The sequence below is a fragment of the Homo sapiens genome, chromosome X (assembly GCF_000001405.40).
Source record: "Homo sapiens chromosome X, GRCh38.p14 Primary Assembly".
Classification (NCBI taxonomy): Eukaryota; Metazoa; Chordata; class Mammalia; order Primates; family Hominidae; genus Homo; species Homo sapiens.
The window spans coordinates 69954103-69980143 of NC_000023.11; the positions used below are offsets into that span (position 1 = coordinate 69954103).

Here is a 26041-nt window from a genome sequence, read left to right on the forward strand (position 1 = left end):
CCCCCTGCTGCAGGATCTAAGTCTAAATTCCTCAACATGATCTGGCTCTTACTTAATACTCCTTGGCTTATTTCTCACCATTCCCTCTCACCTCCTACCACTTATTCTAAGCTACTTATAGTTCCAAAAGTTGTTATTCTTTCTTTTTCCTCTGAACCTTTAAGCACAGCACTCCTTTTTCCTGGAATTCCTTTTCCATTTTCCATTTATCACTAAATCATTGACATCCTTTAGGACTCACAGAAGTAGCACACCTCCTCCAAGACGACTTGTTCACTTTCAGGTTGTGTTAGATGCTTCCCCTCTTGCTCCCAGAGAACTTGAAGCTCCTCTCCATCAAAGCATGTATTGCTCTATAATGTAATTGTAATAATTAAAAAACCCTCAAACCCATAGTGGACTGAGGTCATTTAATGTACAGGCAAATAGTCCTCCACATATTCAGTAAGCCCTGAATTAAATCACATATTATAAACTAATTTCTTTTTTATTGCATTATACTAGGCCCTATCATATACTTTAATATTCATAAACACTGAAGTAAATATTGCTATTACGGGGTTTTTTTAGTTTTTAAGTTCACAGGTACATGTGCAGAATGTACAAGTTTGTTACATACATAACTGTGTATCCTGGGCGTTTGTTATACAAATTATTTCATCACCCAGGTATTAAGCCTAGTATCCATTTGTTATTTTTCCTGATCCTCTCCATCCTCCCACCTTCCACCCTCCAATAGGCTCCAGTGTGTGTTGTCCCCACCATGTGTCCATGTGTTCCCATCATTTAGCTCCCACTTACAAGTGAAAACATACCATATTTGGTTTTCTGTTCCTGCATTAGTTTGCTAAGGATAATGGCCTCCAGCTCCATCTATGTCACTGCAAAGGACATGATCTCGTTCTTTTTTAATGGCTGCATAGCTGAAGTAAGTTTCAGCACTCAAAGTTATCAAGAAAACTCTTCTATCCAGGATGACTTGTAGAGTTGCAAATGATTGAGATTTTATTGTAAACAGCAGTTTAGTTTTATACTATTATTAGTACTTAGCTTATTTATATTGTGAGTTAAGTAACTTTCTGTGGGCTTATCAGGAGAACTAGCCAAACTTTATTATGTTGATTGTATGAGAAAATGCATTTTTACATTCCAATCAAGTGACTCAAAAATACTACTCAGTTGAACCATGTGAAATTGTTGATTGATATTCAACCATTTTTGACAAAAATGGCAGTTTATTTTGAAATGCAGTCCTGTTGACAAGATGGAAATTACCTACACATTGATTTATTAATTTTATATTTAATACATTCATGTATCCTTCAAGATGCTAATCCTACACCTTAAGGATATTGGGTAAATCACAGAATTTTGAAGAAAATTTGTGTGGAATATTGGGGCTTTCTTGGGTCCAACCCATTTTTTTTCCACTTAATCAGAGATGGAGCAGACATGAGGACTCTGGAATTTTTTATTTTTTGAACTGATAATAGAATGAAAATGCAGATTCATTTGTTCTATTTTAGGCCCCAAATTAACCATTCTATTTTGAAGATTAAGTTTAATAATAATAGTAATAGCAAACATTTATTAAGTGCATGCTACATGCTAAGTACTGTTCTAACTCTGCAACTGTTTTATCTGCAAAGTACTATTATTATCCCTACTTACTGATGAGGAAACTAAAGTTTAAGTAACTTGTTCCAGGTTATACAGCTAGTAAGTGGCAGAGTTGGCATTAGAATCACTCAGTCCTACTACCGTGTTTACTGTTTACCTCAAGCACATGGTTTTACCACAGTAAAGCACTCATGCTAAAAGATTATGATTCAATTCAGCAAATATATATTTAAGCTATGATTATTAGTGAAGCCAGACCCATTCACATATGAAACATATTGTATTATTATCAGAGACCATTATAAGACAGTAGAGGACCAGGTACCAAAATTAGTCTTATAGACCACAAGTGCTATAGGAATCTCAGAAGAGGAGAAAATAATTGTGTACTTTGTCATGACTAACTCCCAGAAGAGCATTGACAAATAGTACCTCAGTATTGGATGCACAGCATTTTGGGAACAAACCAAAATTACATCATAAATAGCAATGTGGCAAAATCATGAATGTGTAATAATGAAGTCCAATGGGGAGCAGCAAATTCAAGGTTTTCTTTCTTTCTTTCTTTCTTTCTTTCTTTCTTTCTTTCTCTTTCTCTTTCTCTTTCTCTTTCTTTCTTCTTTTTTTTTTTTTTTTTTTACAGAGTTTTGCTCTTGTTGCCCAGGCTGGAGTGCAGTGGTGCGACCTCAGCTCACTGCAACCTCTGCCTCCCAGGTTCAGGCGATTCTCCTACCTCAGCCTCCCCAGTAGCTGGGATTATAGGCACCCCCCACCACCACACCCGGCTAATTTTGTATTTTTAGTAGAGATGGGGTTTCACCATGTTGGTCAGGCTGGTTTCGAACTCCTGACCTCAGGTGATCCGCCCACCTCGGCCTCCCAAAGTGCTGGGATTACAGGCGTGAGCCACTGCTCCCAGCCAAATTCAAGGTTTTCTGTTCAATTTTCTGTTCAACTCAAATTCTGAGTGAGCATCCTCAGTATGTGTGGGAAGTTAGAAATTTGTGGCTAGGCTCTCTGAATCCCAGAAATATATGAAGAAATGGGACCTGATGGATTATTTATTAGATATTCAGGGTGGAAGAAATGGGATTCAGAAATTAACCAAAATGTCATGCCTACATGATTGGAATAATAATGGTATCAAAAATAAAATGGTTTGTACAGTGGAGGGGAAGATGGGCTCAGGCTTTAGACACATCAAACTTAAGGTACAGGTAGACTGTCTATGGAAAGCTGGTTTTTTATGTTGGCTATGACTGAGTGGGGTCAACCTTTGACTAATGTACTTGTAATTTTTACAGATGGCCCTATTGAATTTCTTCTTCCCTGATGAAAAGCCATACTCTGAAGAAGAAAGTAGGCGTGTTCGCCGCAATAAAAGAAGCAAAAGCAATGAAGGAGCAGATGGTAAGTCTACTCAGTTGATCCTTTATCACTTCTGAATTATTTGTTAGTAAAAGTATCCTTTTAAGAACTACCTTCTTGGTAGGGCATGGTGGCTCACGCCTGTAATCCTAGCACTTTGGGAGGCCCACGCGGGCAGATCACTTGAGGTGAGGAATTCAAAACCAGCCTGGCCAACATGGTGAAACCCTGTCTCTACTAAAAATACAAAAAAAATTAGCCGGGCCTAGTCCCAGCTGCTTGGGAGACTAAGGCAGGAGAATCGCTTGAAACTGGGAGGTAGAGGTTGCAGTGAGCTGAGACTGTGCCACTGCACTCCAGCCTGGGTGACAGTGCGAGACTCCATCTCAAAAAAAAAAAAACAAAAAAAAAAAACCACTACCTTTTCAAGTGTGCTTCATCATCTTATATACTGTCCACCACAGACCCAAGGTCATAGACTATTTCTGCAGCCTAACCTACCAATCAGTCCTTTAACATAGAACTAACTATACAAGGATCCTCCCTCCTCCAACTCCAGATACCTTCAGTCCTTTCTCAGTATGTCTGAGAGCCATGATAGCATTTGTATCTCTCAAAATCACCCTCTATAAGGGCCTCATCTCTCCCGGAGATGTCCCACACCTATTAAGGTCAACAGGAGGATTTGGTTCTATTCTTGGAATTGACAGTGTTGTACCCTGCTAGCACTTACATGATGTGTTAATTCCAATGATAATTTTATCAATGTTGGTATCCACTACCATGCCCAAATCTGAACTAGACCTTCTAGAACTAGTTTATAAGTTTCTTGTGGGCAGAGATTTCATTTCTCTTTGTATAAGCCTAGAATCTAGCCTACTATCTGGAACATTGTTGGTGATTGTTATGTAAGTCGATGATGTTGACTGCCCCTTCAGCTAGGCAGTGATGTATCAATGGAAACCATCCCTGTTCTGGGTGTAATAGCTTTGAGTTAACTAGCAATGCATTCTGTGGGGCATAACAAAATGTTGAGCTAGCTCCTGGGCAGGGTCTTTGAATTGCTCTGATATTTCAGCATCACTCTGTCAATTGACATAATGCTACCCCTTTGGGCACAGGGGTTTGTAGAATACATAGCTCTGGGCTGCTGCAAAGGCATCTGGATTCAAAGACAGCATGTGTCTGGCTACATCTGCCAATAATATGTGTCTGGAGGGTTACAAAGCAATATGACTTTATACAGATGAAAATGAAAATTTTAAACTGACATTTGTTGATGTGAGTAAGGGCCACTGATGGAAGCAGTTTTAGAGGGCGGAAGCTATTAAAGAGATGGAGCCAGGACTTTGTCAGTAGGGGCAATAAGAAGTATAACTGGCTGAAATCTGAGAAAGAGCTCAGAACAAGGACCCCATAATAATACCAAAAAAAAAAAAAAAAAGAGCCAGAGCAGTAAGATAGGGTTTTCTAGTCAGTGGAGGTGGCAGCAGCATTGAGCCTTTGAATGGAGAACTGGACCAGTGGGGCCATTCTCTAGAGAAGTCATTTTGCATACAATTGATGACCAATTCAAGCCTAAGAAATGCAGTCCATGTAGTAAAAGTTACCCATTATTCACCTACTACTTGTAGCCAGTTTCCCAGAAGTCTTCTGGCTATGTGGAAGCAGGGAGCTAAGAAGCATGGACCCTTTCCTCTCCTAATCATCTCACCCTCTGATACATGTAAGTCTCTCCACCTTCAGCTTTTCCCCTGAGGCTACTCCCACAACCATCAAACTTTTCATAATCCCTGGTTGCAAAGGAAGAGAGGAGACAGGTGGTAAGAGCAATATCACCTTCTATAGTGGGCGTGGTCTTCCCTCCCTCTCTGAGTGGTAAGTCTAATGGCTTCTAAGGTTTACCTCTTCATCTAACCTCCGAAGTTTTCTCTTAAAGAAAATAATTTCCTCCTTTCCCTAAAACTACTTTATCCAAATTCAGCTACCAACGTCTCTGATACCGATCTTCCTTAGAATGTTTATTCTGTCCTAATACAAAACAGTTTTCTCTCTGGTCAAGGTCAAAGCCTCTCATTAATTTTTAGCACTTCTTATATACTTCCCTCCTGATCTGATACTCTAGTCAGTCACTAGACTCTAGTCTCTTGGTGCCAATGCCAAGTTTCTCATGCAGTCCAGGCATTTTTCTTTAATCAGTATAGCTTGGAGGAATCCAAGAGTCCCTTAGAGTTAGGAGTATAGAATGCCTGGGGGTCCTTGAATTTTATTAGATTTCCAACTTTTCACCTGGTGGTCTGTAGAACCATTTCTTTAGATGTGGCAGATGCTCCAATGAGTTAAAGAGTGGTAAGTCAATCCAAATCTCCTTTTCCTTTGAACCATTCTTGTTACTCTGATGAGCGTATACTATATTTATTCAATACACTCATCAAATATTTACTAAGTAAATACAGCAGTTTATATAGTACTTGAATAAACATTCAATAAGGATTTTTTTTAATATTCCCACTGCCTAGAAACAGACTTGGCACCTAGTAGACCCTCAATAAATATGTCCTGTTGCCCTCAAAGTGATTTACTTCCAGCATAAAGAGGCAGACAATAAATAAAGTTGGTTAAATTTGATAAGTGGTATGAAGAAAAATATAGCTGAGCAACAGGGAGAGAGAGTGATGGGGTATGCTGTAAGATGATCAAGGAAGGTACTCTGATAAGGGAACATTTGGGAAGAGACCTGAATGAAATGAAGTAAGAGCTATGCAAATGTCTGGGGAAAAAAGAAGCAGAAAATTCAAAGGCTCTGAAGCAGAAGAATGTTTGGTATGTTCCAGAAAGATCAGTGTGGCTGGGAGCAGAGTAAGAAGAGGAAGAGGGAAGGAGATGAGTTAAGAAAGCAAAATCCAATCTAGAGCCTTGTTGGCCAAGGTAAGGACTCTGGCTTTTATTCTGCATGAAATGGAGGACCACTGGAGGATTTTGAGCAGAGGAATGACAGGATCTGATGTATGTTTTAACAGCATTCCTCTGGCTGCTGTATTGAAAATAGGTGCAGGAAGAAAGGATACAAGCAGGAAGAATCTTTAGGAGAGTATTACAATAATCCAGGCAAGAGATGATGGTGGCTTAGACCAGGATGGAAGCAGTGTGGGTGGGGAGAAGTGGTCAGATTTTAGAGAGATTTTGAAGGAATGGCTGAAGGATTTTTCAGATTGATTAGATAAGGGATATGACAGACAGAGAAGAGGCATCAGTGACCCCAGGGTTTTGGACTTCAGGAACTAAACAGGTAGAATTGCCATTTCTGAGATGAGGAAGCAAAGGAGAGAAGCAGTGTAGAGGAATATGGGGAAAGAGTTTAGTTAGGCTTGTTAAATTTGAGGTAGCTATTAAACAGCCAAGTGGATATATAAGTCTACACTAAACATCACTGTGTATCATGAAAATAAGATGACTCTCTTTTGTACAAAGGACTTGTCATTGAAGAAGTGAGTCAGTCTGGAAACTGCTCTGAACAGAATAAGAGGTAGGATGGGATAGGTAAATCATAGTGGGGTGAGTTATGGCCAAAAAAAAAATCTTATCAGGTGTTGATTATAAATTCACAAATTACTTGATATGTTATAATAAAAATTTAACTATCTAAGCTCAGGTTTGCCTCACAAGTGTCAAAGAACAAGTCATTTACCTTGAAGAGTTAAGAACATGGCAGAAGTTCGTGACCAGCCTGGGCAACATGGTGAAACCCCGTCTCTACCAAAAATACAAAAAAAAAAAAAATAGCGGGGCACTGTGGCACACACCTGTAGTCCCAGCTACTCAGGAGGCTGAGGTAGGAGAATTGCTTGAGCCCAAGAGGCAGAGGTTGCAGTGAGCCAAGATCGTGCCACTGCACTTCAGCCTAGGCAACAGAGTGAAACTCCATCCAAAAAAAGAAAAAAAAAGAAAGAAAGAAAGAAAGAAAAAGAAAGTCTAGACCCTACTTCATTTGTTTGGTCATTCATCATTTAACAAATGTTTTTTACAGGTGCCCGCCACAACACCCAGCTAATTTTTGTATTTTTAGTAGAGACTGGGTTTCACTATGTTGGCCAGGCTGGTCTCGAACTGCTGACGTTGAGTGATCCGCCCACCTCAGCCTCCCAAAGTGCTGGGATTACAGGGGTAAGCCACTGCATCCAGCCTAGACTTTCTTTCTAGGAACTATAGATATTAAGCTTAATGATCTCCACAAATCCCTGTGAGAGAAAAAAATTTTTATAAACAGTTCATTAACTCTTGGAAACGGAAGGGATGTAGTGATCCTTAGGAGCTGCATAGGTTCACCAAGAACAAATCAGGCTGCAGAAGCCTATTTTCCTGTTTTCATCAGACTATTAAACTAGTTGATTAGAGGCATAGCATACACATAGTCTATCTTGCCTTTTAAAAAGAAAGTCAGTGGCAATATCCAGGGTATATACAATCTTTCTGACTCACCATTCAAGAATGACTAGGTTCATCTCAGTTTCTCCATTCAAATTACTTTATAAATGAAAGCATTGGCTAGCTAAGCAGGAGTCTCAAACACATGGTTAGTTTCAACTCTTAGAAAAGAAGTGAATTTCGTTTTCTTTACTACATTTCTTCCTTGAATTCACTGACTTGAGTTGGCCAGAAGTATTTCAGATCGTTTAAGTTTATTCGTACTAATTATGTGAGGCCTTTGGTTGTTGTTCTTCTTCAAAGAAAGTATGATACCTTCACTGTGGGTGTTGAGTCACAACAGTTCTAGAAATCTGTGCCAGGATTTCTTGCTGTGTCTTATCTTTGTGATGTGTTTCTGAAGTAATAATAGCTCCAGGTGGCTTGTTTGGTCATCTCTTGCACAGCACTCCAGAAATCCACAGAACTTTATTTTCTAGTTAGAATGAAATGTAGAATGTATTTGGGAGGTCATGAGGCCTTAGAATCAGGTAAAATGAATCCAGAATTCCCAAGGAGGTAGTTTCCATATTTCACAAATATTATTGTAAAAACATCTGTTCTCTTCCGATAGGAGCATTTTCAGGAGTTAATAAAAATCTTAATATCTCTCCACACCTGCCTGCCTTCCATGTTTCCGTCCTGGTAAGAGAATAAAATTGCAGCATGGTGTAATAGAAGAGGTACTAGACTGAGCTGCAATTTCTTGATTCCAATCTTGATGTCACTGCCACCTTACCAGCCATGTGAACTTGGAGAAGTCACGTACTTCTAAGCTTCAGTTTTCTTGTCCTTAAAACAGGGATAATTAGCCCTGCTTACCTCATAGAGTTGTTGTGTTTATCAAAAGTGTTAATGTCTGCAAAAGTACCTCATTTTATTTTATTTTATTTTTGAGAGGGAATCTCGCTCTGTCACGCAGGCTGGAGTGCAGTGGTGCAATCTCAGCTCACTGCAATCTCCGCCTCCTGGGTTCAAGTAATTCTCCTGCCTCAGCCTCCCAAGTAGCTGGGATTACAGGCACCCGCCACCACACCTGGCTAACTTTTATATTTTAGTAGAGGCAGGGTTTCACCTTGTTGGCCAGGCTGATCTCAAACTCCTGACCTCAAATGATCCTCACGCCTCGGCCTCCCAAAGTGCTGGGATCACAGGCACGAGCCACTGCACCTGGCCTACAAAAATACTTCAAAAATTATTAAGTGCTATTACTATGCTCTCTCTGGAAAATGAACACACTAGTATGGTGTGCCAGGCATTTGGGGCATTCACATTCCCTAATTTATGGACAACAATTATAATTTCTTCAGAAATGCTCTCTATCAGCCAAATTGCCCATTTTTGTTCTCACTCATGCTATCCAAGCCCATAGGAAGAAGACTCCAAGCCTCACACTATGGCCTACCTCATCACAGCAAATGATCACATCTGCACATTGCTCTGTGGCACTATCTCACTCTGGCTGGCTGGCTGTATATATGTATCCCTTTTTGTTAGTATTTCAGAAATTTCTCTTCCTTGTAGTTTACTTTTGGACATATCAAAAAACTTAGTATTCTTTTCTACTATTATAAAAGAGTAGAGGGAAAAACAAGATTGAAATATATCCTTTGTACTTCAATTTTTAAAAATAATAATGGAATGGGGCATAGCTACTATTAAATTGATACAGATGAACATGAGAGTCTATGATGTCAAAGAAAACAGACTTTCTGCCCGTACAAATGTTAGCTAGAATTAAGAATTGCCCTCATTTTAGTACTGCTCTTGTATTTATTGCTTTCAGTGAGCCATCACTGTGGATTATCAAATGAGAGAGTAAAATCATTTTGAGAGCGATAGAGTTTCAGGGGCTTGTTCACAAGACAAAAGTAAAGCTTTTGAAGGCTCACCATGTGTGTGGACTCGAAGAGGATTGTTGATTTCACATGTAGAATCCCCAAGGTTGCCTGCTGGTAGTGGGTGCCAACAGCTTAAGTGCCCACAGCAGAACACTCTGGAGAGTGGCTTTGTATCAAATAAGACATTAAGTAAGCTAAAATATCTAGCTTGCTCATACTCCAAAATATCCTTTAAAACTGTATTTTCATTGATGGAACTAGCCCTGCAGTAAATGATCTCAACAGGCCATCACCACTAACACTTGGTTAACAAGCATTTTTAGAATACCAACTGCTTGTAAGACGTTGTACCAGGTTCTGTAATTGGTATAGCTACCAAACTCCTGTACTTAGTATGTAAGGCCTAAATTGAATTGGGTATAGAGGTTAAAGATTAAGATGCTTAAAATATTTATGGGATTTTTTAAATTACAAAAATGATACATATATTATAACAAATATGAGCAATACAGAATCAGGAAAGGTATAATGTGAACATGCCCTCCCCACCCACTGCCCCGCTACAATACTGCTTATAAAGTTAAGACATCTTTGAGGAATATCTCACTTGCCTAAAGGAAGTCATAGGCCCACCTGACCTGATGTTCTCTAAAGGTCCTTCCTGTCTACTCAGTCTCTCTAAAGTTCCTTCTAGTTATTTTTTTCTCAATATTAGGGAAATTGGTGAACTCTAAGCCAGGAGATCTAGATTCTAATTCCAGCTCTGCCATTAGTAGTTATAGTAGCAGGATGACCTTAGGAAAGTCTTACTTCACTTCTCTGATCTTAGTCTCTTCTAAAGGGTTAAACTAGAATCAGTGATTCTCAACTGGATTGTAAGAGATCCAAAAGCATATAAGGAGTTTTTTTTTGAAGCATGCATACTCCTGGGAATTCTGACCACTCTACACCCCATTAAGAAAACTATACTGAGGAAGGTACTATTACTGATGAGAGCATATCATATCCTTCAGATGTATTAGGATAAGAAAAGATGTTGAACTACTAGAATAGATGGTTGAATTGTTTCCTTCCAACTCTGATATAACTTGTTACTAACTATTCCTGACTTCTATAATATAATGATAATAGCTAGGCTAGTTTTAGCCAATCAGATGATGTCTATGTCTAGATGATTAAATACTAAGGGTTTCAATTTGGATGGTCAGTGAGCCTTTTCATTAGCATCCCTGAGAACGCTCAATAAGGATTAAGTGCATGCAAATGGTTTCATGAAGTGAAGGCTAAGAAGGTTAATCTGTTGGCTGAGTGGTGAACTGCTAGCTCACTTCTGTATGGCTCCTCAAAATATCACAGGCAGATATAGATGTGCGGTCAGAAGGCACCTGTTGGCTCTGTAGTGTATTACTTACACAACCCTGCCTTACCCTAGATTCTACTCCTTGACCTGTAGGGCCTCTTCAGTCTCAAAGATAAGGAACTACTACAGCTTCCTTTTTTAAAAAACTCATTCATTCAGTAAATGTTTATTAAGTACCAAACTAGTTGTTAAATCAATGTTTATTGATCACCCTTCCAGACACTAAGGGCACAGTAGTGAACAAGATAAGACCCTACCCTAATCAAACTCACTGTGGATGATTTCAATACAGTGTAGTGACCATATAATGGGGTAAGCACAGGGTGCTATGGGACACACTGGCACCTGATCTAGACTTGGGAGGACAGGGAATGTCTCCTAATAAGTGTAACATCTGAGCTGCAAACTGATGGATGCTATAGTTAGCCAAATGAAGATTTGAGGGAAGTGTGCACCAGGCAGAGAGAATATACATGTTGGAAGGCTTAGAGTAAAGAGGGAGCATGGCTCATTTAAGGAACTAAAAGAAGTTTGTAAGGGTGTAGGATAAAGATCTAAAGTGAAAATGATCATAAATGAGCTGGCCAAGAGGGGTCAAATCACGCAGGGCTTTGGAATCCATTTTATGGAATTTAGAAACTATCCTAAAGGCAATGGGGAAGTACAGGATCAATGTCAAGAATAGATTATATGGCAAATATCTTCAAATGCTAAACACACATACTGTAATCCAGCAATTCCACTTCTATTTATAGATATACTAACATACTGGAAATCATTTATCAATGAAGATATTCTTTGCTGTACTATTTATAATAGCAGAGAATTAGAAATACATGTCCATTATTTAGGAACTCATTAAATATGATAAATCTGTAACTGGTCATCATGGTTGCTCTGAGGAAGAAAACTGAGTGTTTGGGGCTGAGGTGAGGAGGGAGTTGACTAGTTGAACATGTGCATGTTCTACCAGTTTAAAATAAACAGATAAAATTTAATTTTAAAAATAGTCTGGACACGGTGGCTTACGCCTGTAATCCCAGCACTTTGGGAGGCCAAGGTGAGAAGATGGCTTGAGGCCAGGAGTTTGAAACCAGTCTGGACAACATAGTGAGACTGCATCTCTACAAAAATTTTTTTTATTAGCGAATTGTGGTGGCATGCACCTGTAGTCCCAGCTGCATGGGAGGCTAAGGTGGGAGGATTGCTTGAGCCTAGGAGTTCAAGGCTGCAGTGAGCTATGATTGAGCCTCTGCTCTCCAGCCTGGGTGACAGTACAAGACCGTTTCTCAAAAAAATAAAAATAAATAAAATGGTCATGATATGCCATTTTCTACTCATTACCTAAATACATTAGCAACAATTTTATAATACATTAACATCCTATTATAATTAGGGGTGGAAAAACTCATATATTGCTGGAAAGAATGTAAATTGTTATAACCATTTTGGATTTTAATCTCTCTGGTAAAGTTAAACATTAGGATACCTGTGATCCAGCATTCACTGTCTTGGGAATCTAGCCTACAAAAATAAGAATTCAGCCGGGTGCAGTGGCTCACGCCTGTAATCCCAACACTTTGGGAGGCCGAGGCAGGTGGATCACCTGAGGTCAGGAGTTCGAGACCAGCCTGGCTAACATGGTGAAACCCCGTCTCTACTAAAAATACAAAAATTAGCCAGGTGTGGTGGCATGGCCTGTAACCCCAGCTACTAGGGAGGCTGAGGCAGGAGAATTGCTTGTACCCGGGAGGTGGAGGTTGCAGTGAGCCAAGATCGCACCACTGCAGCCTGGGCGAAAGAGTGAGACTCCATCTCAAAAAAAAAAAAAAAAATGAGAATTCTAGTATATAGGTCATACATAAAAGGATATTTATTATATCACTGTTTTGTTGCCAAAAGGAGGGATAACTCTAATATCTATGAATAAGAAAATGGTAAAATAAACTACGACATAGACATACTATTGAATATTATGTATATTATTATTCAGTGTAATAATAATGGTAATATTATTACTATTAAAAGGAATGAGTTCTATGTAGTTCTGTGTAATGGTCTGAAGTAGCCATGTTCTATTGCTAGGTTTAAAAATGCAAGTTTTAGAGTAATGTGTATAATATGATCCCATTTTCATAGAGAAAGATTTTAACATATATTTTTTATTTTATATGTAAACATATATAAAATATTTTATAAATATTATAGGTGTGTGTGTGTATATATATATATATAAACATAGGAACAGATGTGGGAAAGGGAAGCATCAGTGAATATCGATTACCTTGGGTGGAAGAGGGTTGGATGGGAAGGGAATAACTATTAAATGGTTCTTTATGTAGTTCTATATGTTTGATTTGTTACAATAACATGTGTAACTGTAATTTATAAGAATATAAAAAGTGGTTAAAGTGGATAGAAAATAATGGACGTGAGAGGGCATAATGAAGACAAAGAAGGGAGGAGATTGCTGTAATGATACACAAAAGGAATGACAGTGGCTGAATTAAAGTAACAGCAATAAAGACAGAAGTAGATAGATTTGAGTTCCTAGGTAGAAAAAATAGGACTTGGTGATTTGATTGAAGGGAGAAAAAGAAGAGTCAAGGAAGCCACCCAGGTTTCTGGCAAGGTACTATACTAGTCACTGATATAATGATCGGGGAAGAAGATGTGTGGTTTTGGACAGGTTGAGTTTCAGGTACCAGTGGGAAATTCAAGGAGGAGAAACCTGTAAGCAGTCCAAGATATGCATCTGAAGCTCAAGAGAGATAGCTGGTCTGAAAATATAGATATGGAGATAATTAGCTACATTAGGACTCTCTCAGTTACAAGTGACAGATAGCTGGCCTAAATTGGCTTAAGATTTTAGAAAAGAAGGAGGGGGAGGATTTATTGCCTCATTTAACTGCAAAGTCCTTCATGAAGCTGGCTTAAAACATGGCTTAACCTTAGGGCTTAAATGATATCATCAGGACTTTCTCCGCTCTGCTTTCCTTTGTATTGGCCTCATTCTTCATGTAGGTTCTCACTATGAGGTGACAAAAATAGCTACTAGAAGCTCTAGACTTACATCTTACCAATTCAACAAGCCCAGTGGAAAGAGGATGCCTTATTCAGTAAGAAAGATGTTGGCAACGCTGGTGAGAGCAGTTTTAGTACAGTAGTTGGGGCAGAAGGGTTCATGATGAAACCAGATGAGGAATTAGAAAACAGCAAATATAAACAAAAGAGAGGAGGAGAAGAGAGGAATAGCTAGAGATTCATTAAGCATCTATTATGTGGAAGACACTGTGTTATATTACACCCGGGGACACAAAGATGCATAAAATATGGGGTTTTTTTTAAGCTCTGGAAGCCCACAGCCTTCAGAAAAGAGAAAATCTTATAAGTAATTCACAAAGGTGATAGATAAGTACTTACATAGAAGTATGATAAGACTGTCATGGGAGCATAGAGGAGGGAACCACAGAATGGTCAACCAAATACATTAAATACATCTCTGAGGAGAAGTGCATAATGGCTGGCACATACTAGGCATGCATATATGACGAATTAGGTGACAATTATGTTTTGGAAGGTGAATGGGACTTTGATGAAGAAAGCTAGACAACCCATTTCTAACAAAGGGAACAGCAAGTACAAAGCTAACCAATCCCCTAGGTTTGCTGGCTTTCCTCTCGGCATGAGGCTTAGAATAAGGGCTGAGAGAAAGCCAAAACTGTTGGGCAGAGAAAATGTGACAAGAGGCCAAAATAGCCTAAGGGGGCCTTCAAATGCCCATTCAGGTACTTAATAAGTGGCCTTTCAATCCCAAATTATCTTAGCATCTTCCCTACCTCACTATTTCTCTCCGCTAGCCTCCATACACAGAAATAAATGTTAGCAAGGCAAGCACAATTCTTCCTTGCTAATAAATATAAAATGTAAGCCATGTATAATGGTTCTTAACACTGGTAGCAGTTTTAATTTCTCTGATCTTCTACTATACCAATATCTGGTGCAAGGCAGCAAAATACATTTAGTACCTTGATGTAATTTAGAAGCAATGATTGATCCTACCTTCCTTGTGTAAGACTCTTAGCTGACTTAGAGAACATAAGTCCTATGTAATTAACATGTTCACAAATGTAGAGAGAGCTGTTTTTGAAATGGTGAAGTACCAAGGACGCTTTGCTGTAAGCTTATGAATCTTGGCTGCATTTTACCACTGCTTCCAGCATGTAGCTCCTTTAATGAACCTAGTACTCTGGTGCATTAAGTCACTTGTTTAGGGTCTAGTCACGCTGAATTCTATATACTGCGAGCCAGAGGTCTAATCAACCTATGCTCTTTGTCACATGGTATACTGGAAAGAAGAGGTCTTTGTGCAGATCTATTCTCCCTATAGCACAACAAGTCGTGGGCCTGGCCTGCTGCCAGAAAGTTAGTAGTGTCATCTGTGTAGATGAAATTCAGCAACTCATTATCTTACATTGTGCCAGAAGAGTGGGAAGAAGATTGACTTGGTAATTTGCTATGTTTCGATCCTAATCTGTTTAGAAATATGATTTCTTTAAAAGGAAATGGAAAAGAATGTGTTTCTCATGATAGCTTCACAGTATCTCCTGAGAGGATGTTCAGTTATTGTAAATACAGCAATTTAATTCTCTCCTTGAATTTCAGATGTATTTCATCTCTTTAAAAAATAAATGTGTTGAAATGATCAGATTATAAAGTATGAATTGTATACTTCCAAAAGTGGAATTTTATATTTCAGATTACACAAAAAAACTTTTTTCATGAGTCATAAAGTTATTGGTTTGTATACTATGTTATTTTTATACATCATCTCCAAAACTCTTTAAAAATAAGTTTACATTGTAACCTATTTAAAGGAGAAAGGCATATTTGCGGTACACATATTTTATCTCAGAGTCATTTCAGCATTTTGAGTCTAATTCATTCTTCCCACCCTGTAGCATAGTATGCAAAATCCAGAAGCTATCAGAAGCAAGGCCCAAATTTAGTGTAGTAAAGCTTCTAGTACATGGGTGAAATACACACATAAGAAAGAAAAAAGAACAAGGCCAGGTGTGGTGGCTCACACCTGTATTCCCAGTACTTTGGGAGACCAAGGCAGGAGGATCTCTTGAGGCCAGGAACTTGAGACCAGCCGGGGAACATAGCAAGACCCCCATCTCAAAAAAAATTTTTTTTAATTGGCCAAGCTGGGTGGTACACATGTGTAGTCCCAGCTACTTGAGAGGTTGAGGCAGGAGGATCACTTGAGCCCAGGAGTTTGAGGCTGCAGTGAGCTATGACTGCACCACTGCACTTGAACTTGGGCAACAAAGTGATGACCTGTCTCAAAAAGAAAAAGAAAGAAAGAAAAAATTCAGTTGATATCAAGTTTCTGACCCTTAGTTTCTCTCTGAGACAGTTTGGAGTAAGGAAAGAGCATAAGATTTAAAATCACACAAATCCTAGCTCTACTACTTTTAGCTTTGTGGCCTTGGCCAAGTCATGTAACCTCTCTCAAGCTAACTTTTCTCATTATATAATGATAGTAATGATACTTCCTTTGATAAGACTTTATAAGGACTAGAGATAAATTAAAATGCCTAAACCATTGCAGGCAACATAACAGGTGCTCAATAATTGGTAATTATTAGTATCAACTGTAAAATGAGAATAGTACTAATTTATTTCTCAGGTTATGAGTCGAATGAATGAGAATGCTTTTTTTTTCAAGCACCTTAATCTCTTAGCTATTTCGTAGTTGAAAAGAAGTTATCCTGCTTATCTCACAGGATTGTGATGATCAAAAAGGATAATAAATGCTAAAACACCTAGAAAAACATAAAGTGCTGCTCAACATTGGGACCAAGCTTCCCTGTATACTGAACATCTCACTATATGGTCCAGAACGGGATCTTCATGGTGATTCTTAGTCCTCAATAGACAGCTGTATCTAGCGTGATAAGACAGGGAAGTCTCAAAACACTTTACAAAGATTTCTGTCAGGTTTCAAAGTTTGCTGTCAACGAAGTAGACCTTAATTACCCAGAAAACTCATTTCTGTGGAACTCCTTATATGGAGCCAAGGAAGCAAGGTGTTAAACTGTGCATAACTCTTATTAGGTGAGGACTATATAGCATTGTAATTAGAAAGAAATCTGAGGTATAGTGTTCAAGCCAACTCTATAAATGCCGTCTTAAAGATTATATAATGTATTCTAAAATATTTCATATGGATTTCTAAAGAATTGAATAACAATCAAATATGCTAAACATAAAAATGACTCAGGACACAGTTTAATAATTCCTGATGCCAAATATATATCAGAATCTGTAGGACCTTAACAATATTATTTATGAATATAAATTATTGATCAAAACTGTACAAGTAAATGTTGAAGACTGGACCAAACCTGATCTGGGTTGAAGTCCTGAGCTCCCTCACTCACTCGTCCTCTAATTTGGAACTAGTCAGCCTCCATGTCATTTCACTGATTGCTGTAGAAGGTCAAATGAATTGATGTCTGTGCAAATGCTATGCAAACTGTAAAATGATGTACAAATGTGAAGTATTATTTATCATAAAAGTTGAATACAGAAAAATGGTTTGAAACAGTTTATTAATTTGGGAATGTCAAAGAAATAAGAGATTATGAGAAAACCAAAGTCCTGGTTATGTTTAGTATATCATGCAACATTGCCATGGGGTGGCAACCATAGCAACAAAGTAAGTAATCTTTTCCACCAGACATTTCTGGTTACAGCCTCTTGTTTGACTCAAGCCAGTCCCCCTCCTTGACTGCCTTTTTACCTCCTCACTTTTGATCCTTATTCATCCTTCCAAGATCCAGCTGTAGGCTTCATAGCCTTTAAGAGGCCTTGATAAACCTCTATCCAGATAGCTCATCTTAGTTTACATTCTTCCACGTGCATGCTTAAGATACTTATAATTTCTAGGCCTTTTTCATGTGCTTCTCGCGTCTTCACAGCTATGTAACAAGCCAAAAGAGGTTAGAGATTCCTTCTATCTCGGTGTGGCAACTAGCATAATGCAAACAGTTAAGTACTTAATGAATATTTGTAGATTGAAAGAAAACATGCTGCAGGCCCAATGCTAAAGCATACCCTTCTTTCAAAAAAGAAAACTATATTTGAAAGAGCTTAAGAGATGGTCAGTAGACAATGCAGTTGTCTATGAAGCCACAGTGAGTTATATATATAAAATGGCAACTAATTGGTAACTTATTGGGAGATCAAGGGAAGAAGTTGTTGTAAATATTTGTTCATGAGGGAGAAGCCTTCAGGCTCTTTCCAGTTCTATCCCTGTACCACAGTAATGATACTGTGCACAAATGGCTTCCTCAAAGGGCTATACTGTGTAATATACATAATGTTCCATTTTCACATTTAAATGTAAGTTAAGAAACAAAATTACATTGTAATTTATCATCACATATTTATTATCTCCCCTTCTTCTCCCAAATTTTATGATTTTTCTGATTGCTAAGGTATAGTGTGGCACTCTTCACCATTTATTGGCATAATACAGAGCTTAGATAACATTCACATGCAGAACACCCTCCCTGGAGCCCTTGGGGTTCTGTAGATTTTTCTAGCACGATGGCTGTAACTAGGCCCCCTTTTCTTCTTGCTCAAGAAAGCCTATCAGAATGTGAATAAGAGTGACACTATCATAGAAATAACATTTGTTCCAGTTTTTATTTAAGTAAATTATTAATGACCTTCAGGACTTCGTTAGTAACAAAATGTTTGCAGTACACTTCAATACCACAGTTGCAGTCACTGGGGCAGTAAAATGGACTTTGGTTTCACATTTAAGGACCTGGGTTCAAGTTGTAAGTCTGCCACTTATTTTCTATGAAACTTTGAACATGCTTCTTGATCTCTCAGCCTCAGTTCCTATAAAATGGCAATAACAGTAATACATCACTGGGATGATATGGGGATTAAATACAATGTTATTTGAAAAACCAATTTTTAAAATGTAAAGCCCTGGGCAAATCTGAGTTCTGTATCCCCTTATGCACCCATGTAATTCTCCTTTCTGTCATTGCCATGCCCTTGGTTTAGGCCTTCCAACTACCTATTGCTTTGTCTCCTTCCTTACCTTATATGAATTCCTCATCCCCTTTTCCTTCAAAATCATTCTCTTGTAGTTGATCCAACTAACAGTCACAGATTCATTTTCTTTTCCATTTGAATTAGCTATAACTAACTAAGCTAATCTAAGCTAATCTAAGCTAATCTAAGCCCTAACTCCTAGAGGTTGTTCTTAATTATGAACTTGCATGCAGTCTGGGACAGAAAAACAGAAAACTCCTTACTTATTTTAGAGTTTTCAATCTTTTCCTCCACCCCCAGATAATGTTTTTATATACACCAAAAGTCAAGCTCTTCTCTTGCCTTCCCAATACCTCCAGTGTATACCCACACATAGCCCAGTGCTGAAAGACAGCTTAGGGAATGCAGAGGAAAGGGACTGACCACCAAAAACAAGACAAGGATCTTGTGGGAAGACAGGACCCAAGTTCTCTAGATGGCTGAACTACAACCTCAAATGTCTTAGCATTCTCAAAATTTGTATGGGAACCTTCAGCAGTAGGGCCTGGCTATACCTACTGCTACTGTTCCAAGCTCTAACACCACGTGGTCCAGTCCAGTAGAGCAAACAAAGATTGTAAAACTAGGACCAGCTGCCACTTACAGTGTTTCTTGGGCCTTCACAAGCAGCTCCACTCCTTGCCCATTGCTCCTCCTACTGGTTCTGATCCATATTGGAACTCCCTCTAACTTGCATTGCCTTCTCCCTCATTCCCTAGTTGTCCCAGTTGGATGAGAATTGTGAGTTCCTAGATCTCTCTCAAAAGACATTCTTCCATATATACGACAGGAGACTTATACAGCGTCAAAATCTAACAACCCAAATGCCCATCAACAGAATAGTGTATGGATAAACTACGATATATTCATACAATGAAATATTAAACAGCAACCAAACCAATGAACTGTAGCAACAGTTATGAATATGAGTGAATCTTACCAATATAATGTTAAGCTTATAAAAAGTAAATCCCCTATGTTGAATTTGCCAACAAAAGAAAAAACTATGTTTGTATTAAACGTATTTAAGAAGCAAGTCATCTCGGACCTGTAATAAAGACAAACCTAATTTAATATTGAAAAGACTAAGTCCTAAAATATTAAATGTAGCATAATAACCTTTGTAAGTTACAAACAACTAACTTTAAATATATATATATATATTAGGAATATATACAAATGTGATATAATTATATGAAAAGGAAATTGAGGGAATGAATGAACACAGGATTCAGGATAAAGATTACTTGAAAAAAAAAGATTACTTGAGTGGGTAAATTGTAGGGAGATGAGAGTGAGAAGGAAATATATGGTTGAATGTAAGTTTTTAACAAAGTCCTAGCTTTTGCTTTGGGTGACTGTTTTACAAGTGCTTATTACATTATTTTATTAAAGCTAAATAAATACAAAAATAAGCAATGGGGGAAAGGAGTCACTATTCAATAATAATGCTGGGATAACTGACTGTCCAAAATAATGAAATATGTAGAAGAATGAAACTGGACCCCTACCCATCACCATATACAAAAATTAACTCAAGATTGATTAAAGACTTAAATATAAGACCTCAGACTGTAAGAATCCTAAACAAAAACCGAGGAAACACCATTCTGGACATCAGCTTTGGGAAAGAATGTATGACTAAGTTATCAAAAACAATTGTAACAAAAACAAAAATTAAGTGGGACCTAATTAAACTAAAGAGCTTCTGCACAGCAAAATAAATTTCAACAGAGCAAACAGACAACCTACAAATATTTGCAAACTATACATCTGACAAAGGTCTGATATCCAGAATCTATAAGGAACTTAAGTTTGTCTTTATTACAGGTCCAAGATGACTTGCTTCTTAAATACGTTTAATACAAACATAGAACAAGGAAATTGAACAAGCAGAAAACAAATAACCCCCTTTAAAAATGGGCAAAAGATATGAACAGACACTTCTCAAAAGAAGATATACAAGTGGCCAAGAAACATGAAAAAATGTTCGGCATCACTAATCATTAGAGAAATGCAAATCAAAATCACAATGAGAAACCATCTCACACCAGTCAGAATGGCTTTTATTAAAAAGTCAAAAAATAACAAATGCTAGTGAGGTTGTGGAGAAAATGGAACACTTATGCACTGTTGGTGGGAATGTAAACTAGTTCAACCACTGTGGAAAGCAGTTTGGAGATTGCTCAAAGAACTAAAAGTAGAACTACCATTTGACCCAACAATCCCGTTACTGGGTATATATCCAAAAGAAAATAAACCATTCTACCAAAAAGATGTATGCACTCATATGTTCATGGCAGCACTCTTCACAATAGCAAAGACATGGAATCAACCTAGGTGCACATCAATGGCAGATTGGATAAAGAAAATGTGGTTCATATACACCGTGGAATATAACGCAGCTATAAAAAAGAATAAAAGTATGGCCTGTACAGGTACATGGATACAGCTGGAGGCCATTATCCTAAGCGAATTAACACAGAAACAGAAAACCAAATACCAGGTGTTCTCACTTGTAAGTGGGAGCTAAACATCGGGTACATATGGACATAAAGATGGCAACAATAGACACTGGGGACTACATGTGGAGGGAGGGAAGGAGGGAGGGAGAGGGCAAGGGTTGAAAAACTACATTTTGGGTACTATGCTCACTATCTGGTGATGGAATCAATTTTGCTACAAACCTCGGCATCACACAACATACCCATATAACAAACCTGCACATGTACTCCCTGAATCTAAAATAAAAGTTGAAATTTTTAAAAAACTAAATAAATAAAAGTGGGCTACACATAGACCAATGTGAATGTGCTATAAATGTAAAATAGATTTCATAATAGATTTCAAAGACTTAGTACCAAAAAAGCAATGTAAAATATCTCATTAATACACATCTATATTGATTACATGCTGAAATTAAAATAGTTTAGGTTTATTGGGTTACATAAAAAAAATCTATTAAAAATTAATTTCACCTGATTCTTTTTACTTTTTTAATATGGTTAATAGAAATTTTTAAATTACCTATGTGGCTCACATTTGTGACTCACATTATGTTTCTATCAGACATAGAAACGTGTCATGGTGGTATAAGAATTCTAGAGCACTGCTCTTTATGTGTAAACCCAGCTGTTTTCAGGCTTAAAGCTATTTAGTTTGTCTTTTTAGGTTTAATAATTCTAATTTATTTTTTTTCAGGGCTTCTGAAACCTTAATTGAAAGTTTTAATAAATACAAAAGTAATACATGCTCCTTTTAAAACAAAATTAAATATCAGAGAAATTTATGATGTAACAGAAGGAATGTAACACCACAATCTTAGCTCCCAGATATAGACACGGTTAAGAATTAAGAAGACTTTCTAGGTATATGTGTTTTTAAAGTATTAGAATGTGAACATCAAAGTTATCCCTATTCTTTCTCATTTTTTCTGACACCAGAGAGGCAACGGAAGATCATGGCTCAATGTTTGTGCCAAGCAGAGAACTAAAGTAGTGGTTCCCACCTCTGGAGTTACAGTCCTCTATCGTTAGCTGGAGTTTGGAATTTTTTTCCTGGCCAAATCTCTTCCCCTCACCCCAAAAAAGTGCCATTTGGCATATGTTTACACTAAAAGCTGAAGTGAACTAAAATTAGTGTTTTGAGAATTTCCTAATACCCCTTGGGAAAATATCAGAGACCCAATGGGATATTGTAAGACCAGAACTAACAATCACTATTTCAGGGTATTGATTTCCAACAAAGTACCTGATCATTTCTCTCAGTGGGTATGAACCAGGCTTCTGATGGGAGTGTAATGATTTGGAGAAAACAAGGTGGATCTATTTCTCTATAGGTTTCTCTCTGTTCTTAGGAAGAAATTCAATGGAGGTAGCTGTGACAGGGGGAGGGGGGGTGGAAAAGGGGTCCAAAGGTCAGATCTTGATTATGTGCTAGATCTTGAAACTTTTCTTTTCAAATTGCCTGAGGCCCTATAAAAATCATTAATATAGAAATAGCTATTTTTTCAAGCCTTGGACTAAGTGCCATGGAAATTACAGAAGTTATTTTCTTTGTTCACATTATTGATTGACAAGTTCAAAGATTTTGGATACATTTCTTGGAACAGACATCAAACAGTTTGACATTTTTCCTTTTCTATTCAATGAAATGAATCCTTCATTCAACATCATATGCTTAGGAAACACACCAATGAATTTTTAAATCATATTCTATATTACCCCTGTTCCTGCACTGGTTGAGACCTGTGAGAGAAAAATAATACAAACTGCTCTTTTACTGCTATTCTGATTAGAATCTCTTTCCTCTCCTTTTGCAGGGAAATGGCAGACTTGAACTAGGCATTCCAACGAAGGCTTTTCTGAAACACTTTTTAAGTCATTGTTCTCAGCCATCCTATCTATTCTAAAGTCCATTATCATTTTTCTTCTAGCCTGAACCCCTTGACACCACAATTCTAATGTATTTGTCTGTTTCTTTTTTGGTCACATGTTCATTTGTCTTGCTTCTGCCTTCTCTTAGATTGGCAGTTCCTTGAGGTGAGAGACCATGTCTAGGTCTAATTCCAAAGTAATATAAATCTACATGGTCAGAAAATACTTATTAACAAAATTATTACCTAGAACCCATTTGCCCCAAACTCTACCTAGGTTTATTTTATGAAATTAATGCTTTCATTTAAAACCATTAAGTTCACATAACAGTAAACTTCTTCAAAGATCACACAAAAAGATAAATTGGAGCTAGAAACACAAATGAACAGCATGGAAGAGTTTTGGATATTAATGGCCCATGTATATATTTTTCACATTTTTAGTTTGCTTTTGCTATACAAAAATGTGTCCTGTTTATGGAGTACTGTGTGATCTTATTTATTAAACAGAACAGTATATTAGACAGATCATTCAGTTGGAAATACATCTGGAATTCAGATCTAGTTCAAACACGAACTAGCTATGGGACTTACGTGCTCAGTTTTTTGGGCAGAGGAAGGAAATGACCTAACACTGATCCTGATAACCTCACAAGGGTATTGACAAGATCAATGCATCAGAAATATATCAGAAAGTGTTTTGTAAACTAAATACCATATAAATATGTGGGATGTCCTTACGTTTGCAGTTTCAACATTCAAGAAGACCATTCATTTCCTGTTAGCATCCCTTGTACTTTGAGGATGTGGCCACAAGGTCCTTTGGCCTTTGTCAGTATCATCAAAAATGCCAGCTTTTAGACACAGATGTGATTTATTTGAAAGAATTATATTAGCTCACTTTTATCTTTTAAAAAATTAAGACAATATTTTATTAAAATAACTAAACAGGCCCAGCCCAGTGAGGCACGCCTGTAATTCCAGCACTTTGGGAGACCAAGGTGGAAGGATTGCCTGAGTTCAGGAGTTCGAGACCAGCCTGGCCAATGTAGTGAAACTCCATCTCTAAAAAAAAAAAAAAAAAAAAAAAAAAAAAAAAAAATTAGCTGGGTGTGGTGGTACACGTCTGTAATCCCAGCTATTTGGGTGGCTGAGGCACAAGAATTGCTTGAACCCGGGAGGCGGAGGTTGCAGTGAGCTGAAGTTGCATCACTGCACTCCATCCTGGGTGACAGAGCCAGAATCTGTCTCAAAAAAAAAAAAAAAAAAGAAAGAAAGAAAAAAAGCAGCTTTCTCGAGATATAATTCACATATCATACACTTCACCCATTTATACAATTCAGTGGTTTTTAGAATGTTCTCAGACTTGTGCAATCATCACCACAATTTATTCTAGAACAATTTCATCACCTCAAAAAGAAACCCTTTAGCTATTATCCCTCAATTCCCCTATTCCCTCTCCCAGTCATAGGCAACCAGCAATCTACTTTCTATCTCAATAAGTTTGCCTATTCGAGACATTTCATATCAATGGATTCATACACTACGTGGTATTTTGTGTCTGGCTTCTTTCTCTTAGCATAATTTTTTCAAGGTTTATCCAGGTTGTAACATATATCAATACTTCATTCCTTTTTTATCATGGTAAAATATACATAACAAAATTTACCATTTTAACCATTTTTAAGTATACAATTCAGTGTCACTGAGTATATTCATAATGTTGTGCAACCATTGCCACTGTACATTTCCAGAACTTTTTCCTCCTTCCAAAAAGAAACTCTGTGTCCATCAAACAATAACTCCCCATGACCCTGCTCCCTGCAGCCCCTGGTCACCTCTATTGTACTTTCTGTATCTATGACTACCTATTCTAGTTCCCTCAGATAAGTGGAATCATACAATATTTGTCCCTTTGTGTCTGGCTTACTTTCCTTAGCATATAAGTCAAGGTCCATCTGCGTTATAGCATATACAGTACTTCATTCCTTTTTGTGGATGAATCATATTCCATTTATGAATATACTATATTTTATCCACTCATCAGTTGATGAACACAGGTTGTTCCTGCTTTGGGATATTATGAATAATGCTACTGTGAACATTCATTTACAAGATTTTTATGGAAATATGTTTTTATTTATCTTAGCTATGTACCTAGAAGTGGAATTGCTGGGCCAAATGTTAACTTTGTGTCAGCTTTTTAAGGAAATACCAGACTGTTTTCCAAAGTAGCTACATCATTTTATAATCCCACCAGTAGCAGATAAGGGTTCTAATTTGTTTGTCTTCTCATCAACACTTGTTACTATTTATCTTTTTGATTATATCATAGTGGGTGTGAAGTGGTATCTCACTGTAGTTTTCATTTACATTTCCCTGATGACCGATGATGTCAAGCATCTTTTCATGTGATTATTGGCCATTTGTATATTTTCTTTAGAGGAATGTCTATTTAGATATTTTGCCTAGTCTTCAAGCAGATTATTTGTCTTTTTATTATTAAGTTATTTATATATTCTGGATCCCATCTCTTATAAGATATATTATTTGCCAATATTTTGTCTCATTCTGTGGATGGCCTTTTCACTTTATTGTTGGTTTCATTTGCAGCACAGAGTTTTTAATTTTGATAAAGTTCAATTCATCTATTTTTTTTCTTTTATCACTTATATTTCTCATTTTTTAGTGTTTCTATTTTCTATTTTTTAGTGTTTCTATTATAACTTAGAAAAGTCCAGGATCTGTTTTTTTTACTGAGAAAACTTAGAAAAGGCCAGGGTATGTTTTTCACTGAGATTTTATATCAGTCACAACTCAAGTGGCTCTGTGATTTCACTGTGATTTCAGGGCTTTATAGCTTCTTTGACCACAATAGTCTGCCTAGCTTTG

At 37.5% G+C, this 26041-nt stretch overlaps 1 protein-coding gene across 6 annotated transcripts in view; it reads left to right on the forward strand.

The window, feature by feature from the left end:
* Positions 1 to 26041, forward strand: part of EDA (ectodysplasin A) — a 423360-nt gene that overhangs the window by 337990 nt on the left and 59329 nt on the right. For all 6 annotated transcript variants that reach the window (NM_001399.5, NM_001005609.2, NM_001440762.1 and 3 more), the window contains exon 2: positions 2925 to 3030. In NM_001399.5, the coding sequence (NP_001390.1) occupies positions 2925 to 3030 (106 nt within the window). The remainder of the gene's footprint in view (positions 1 to 2924; positions 3031 to 26041) is intronic.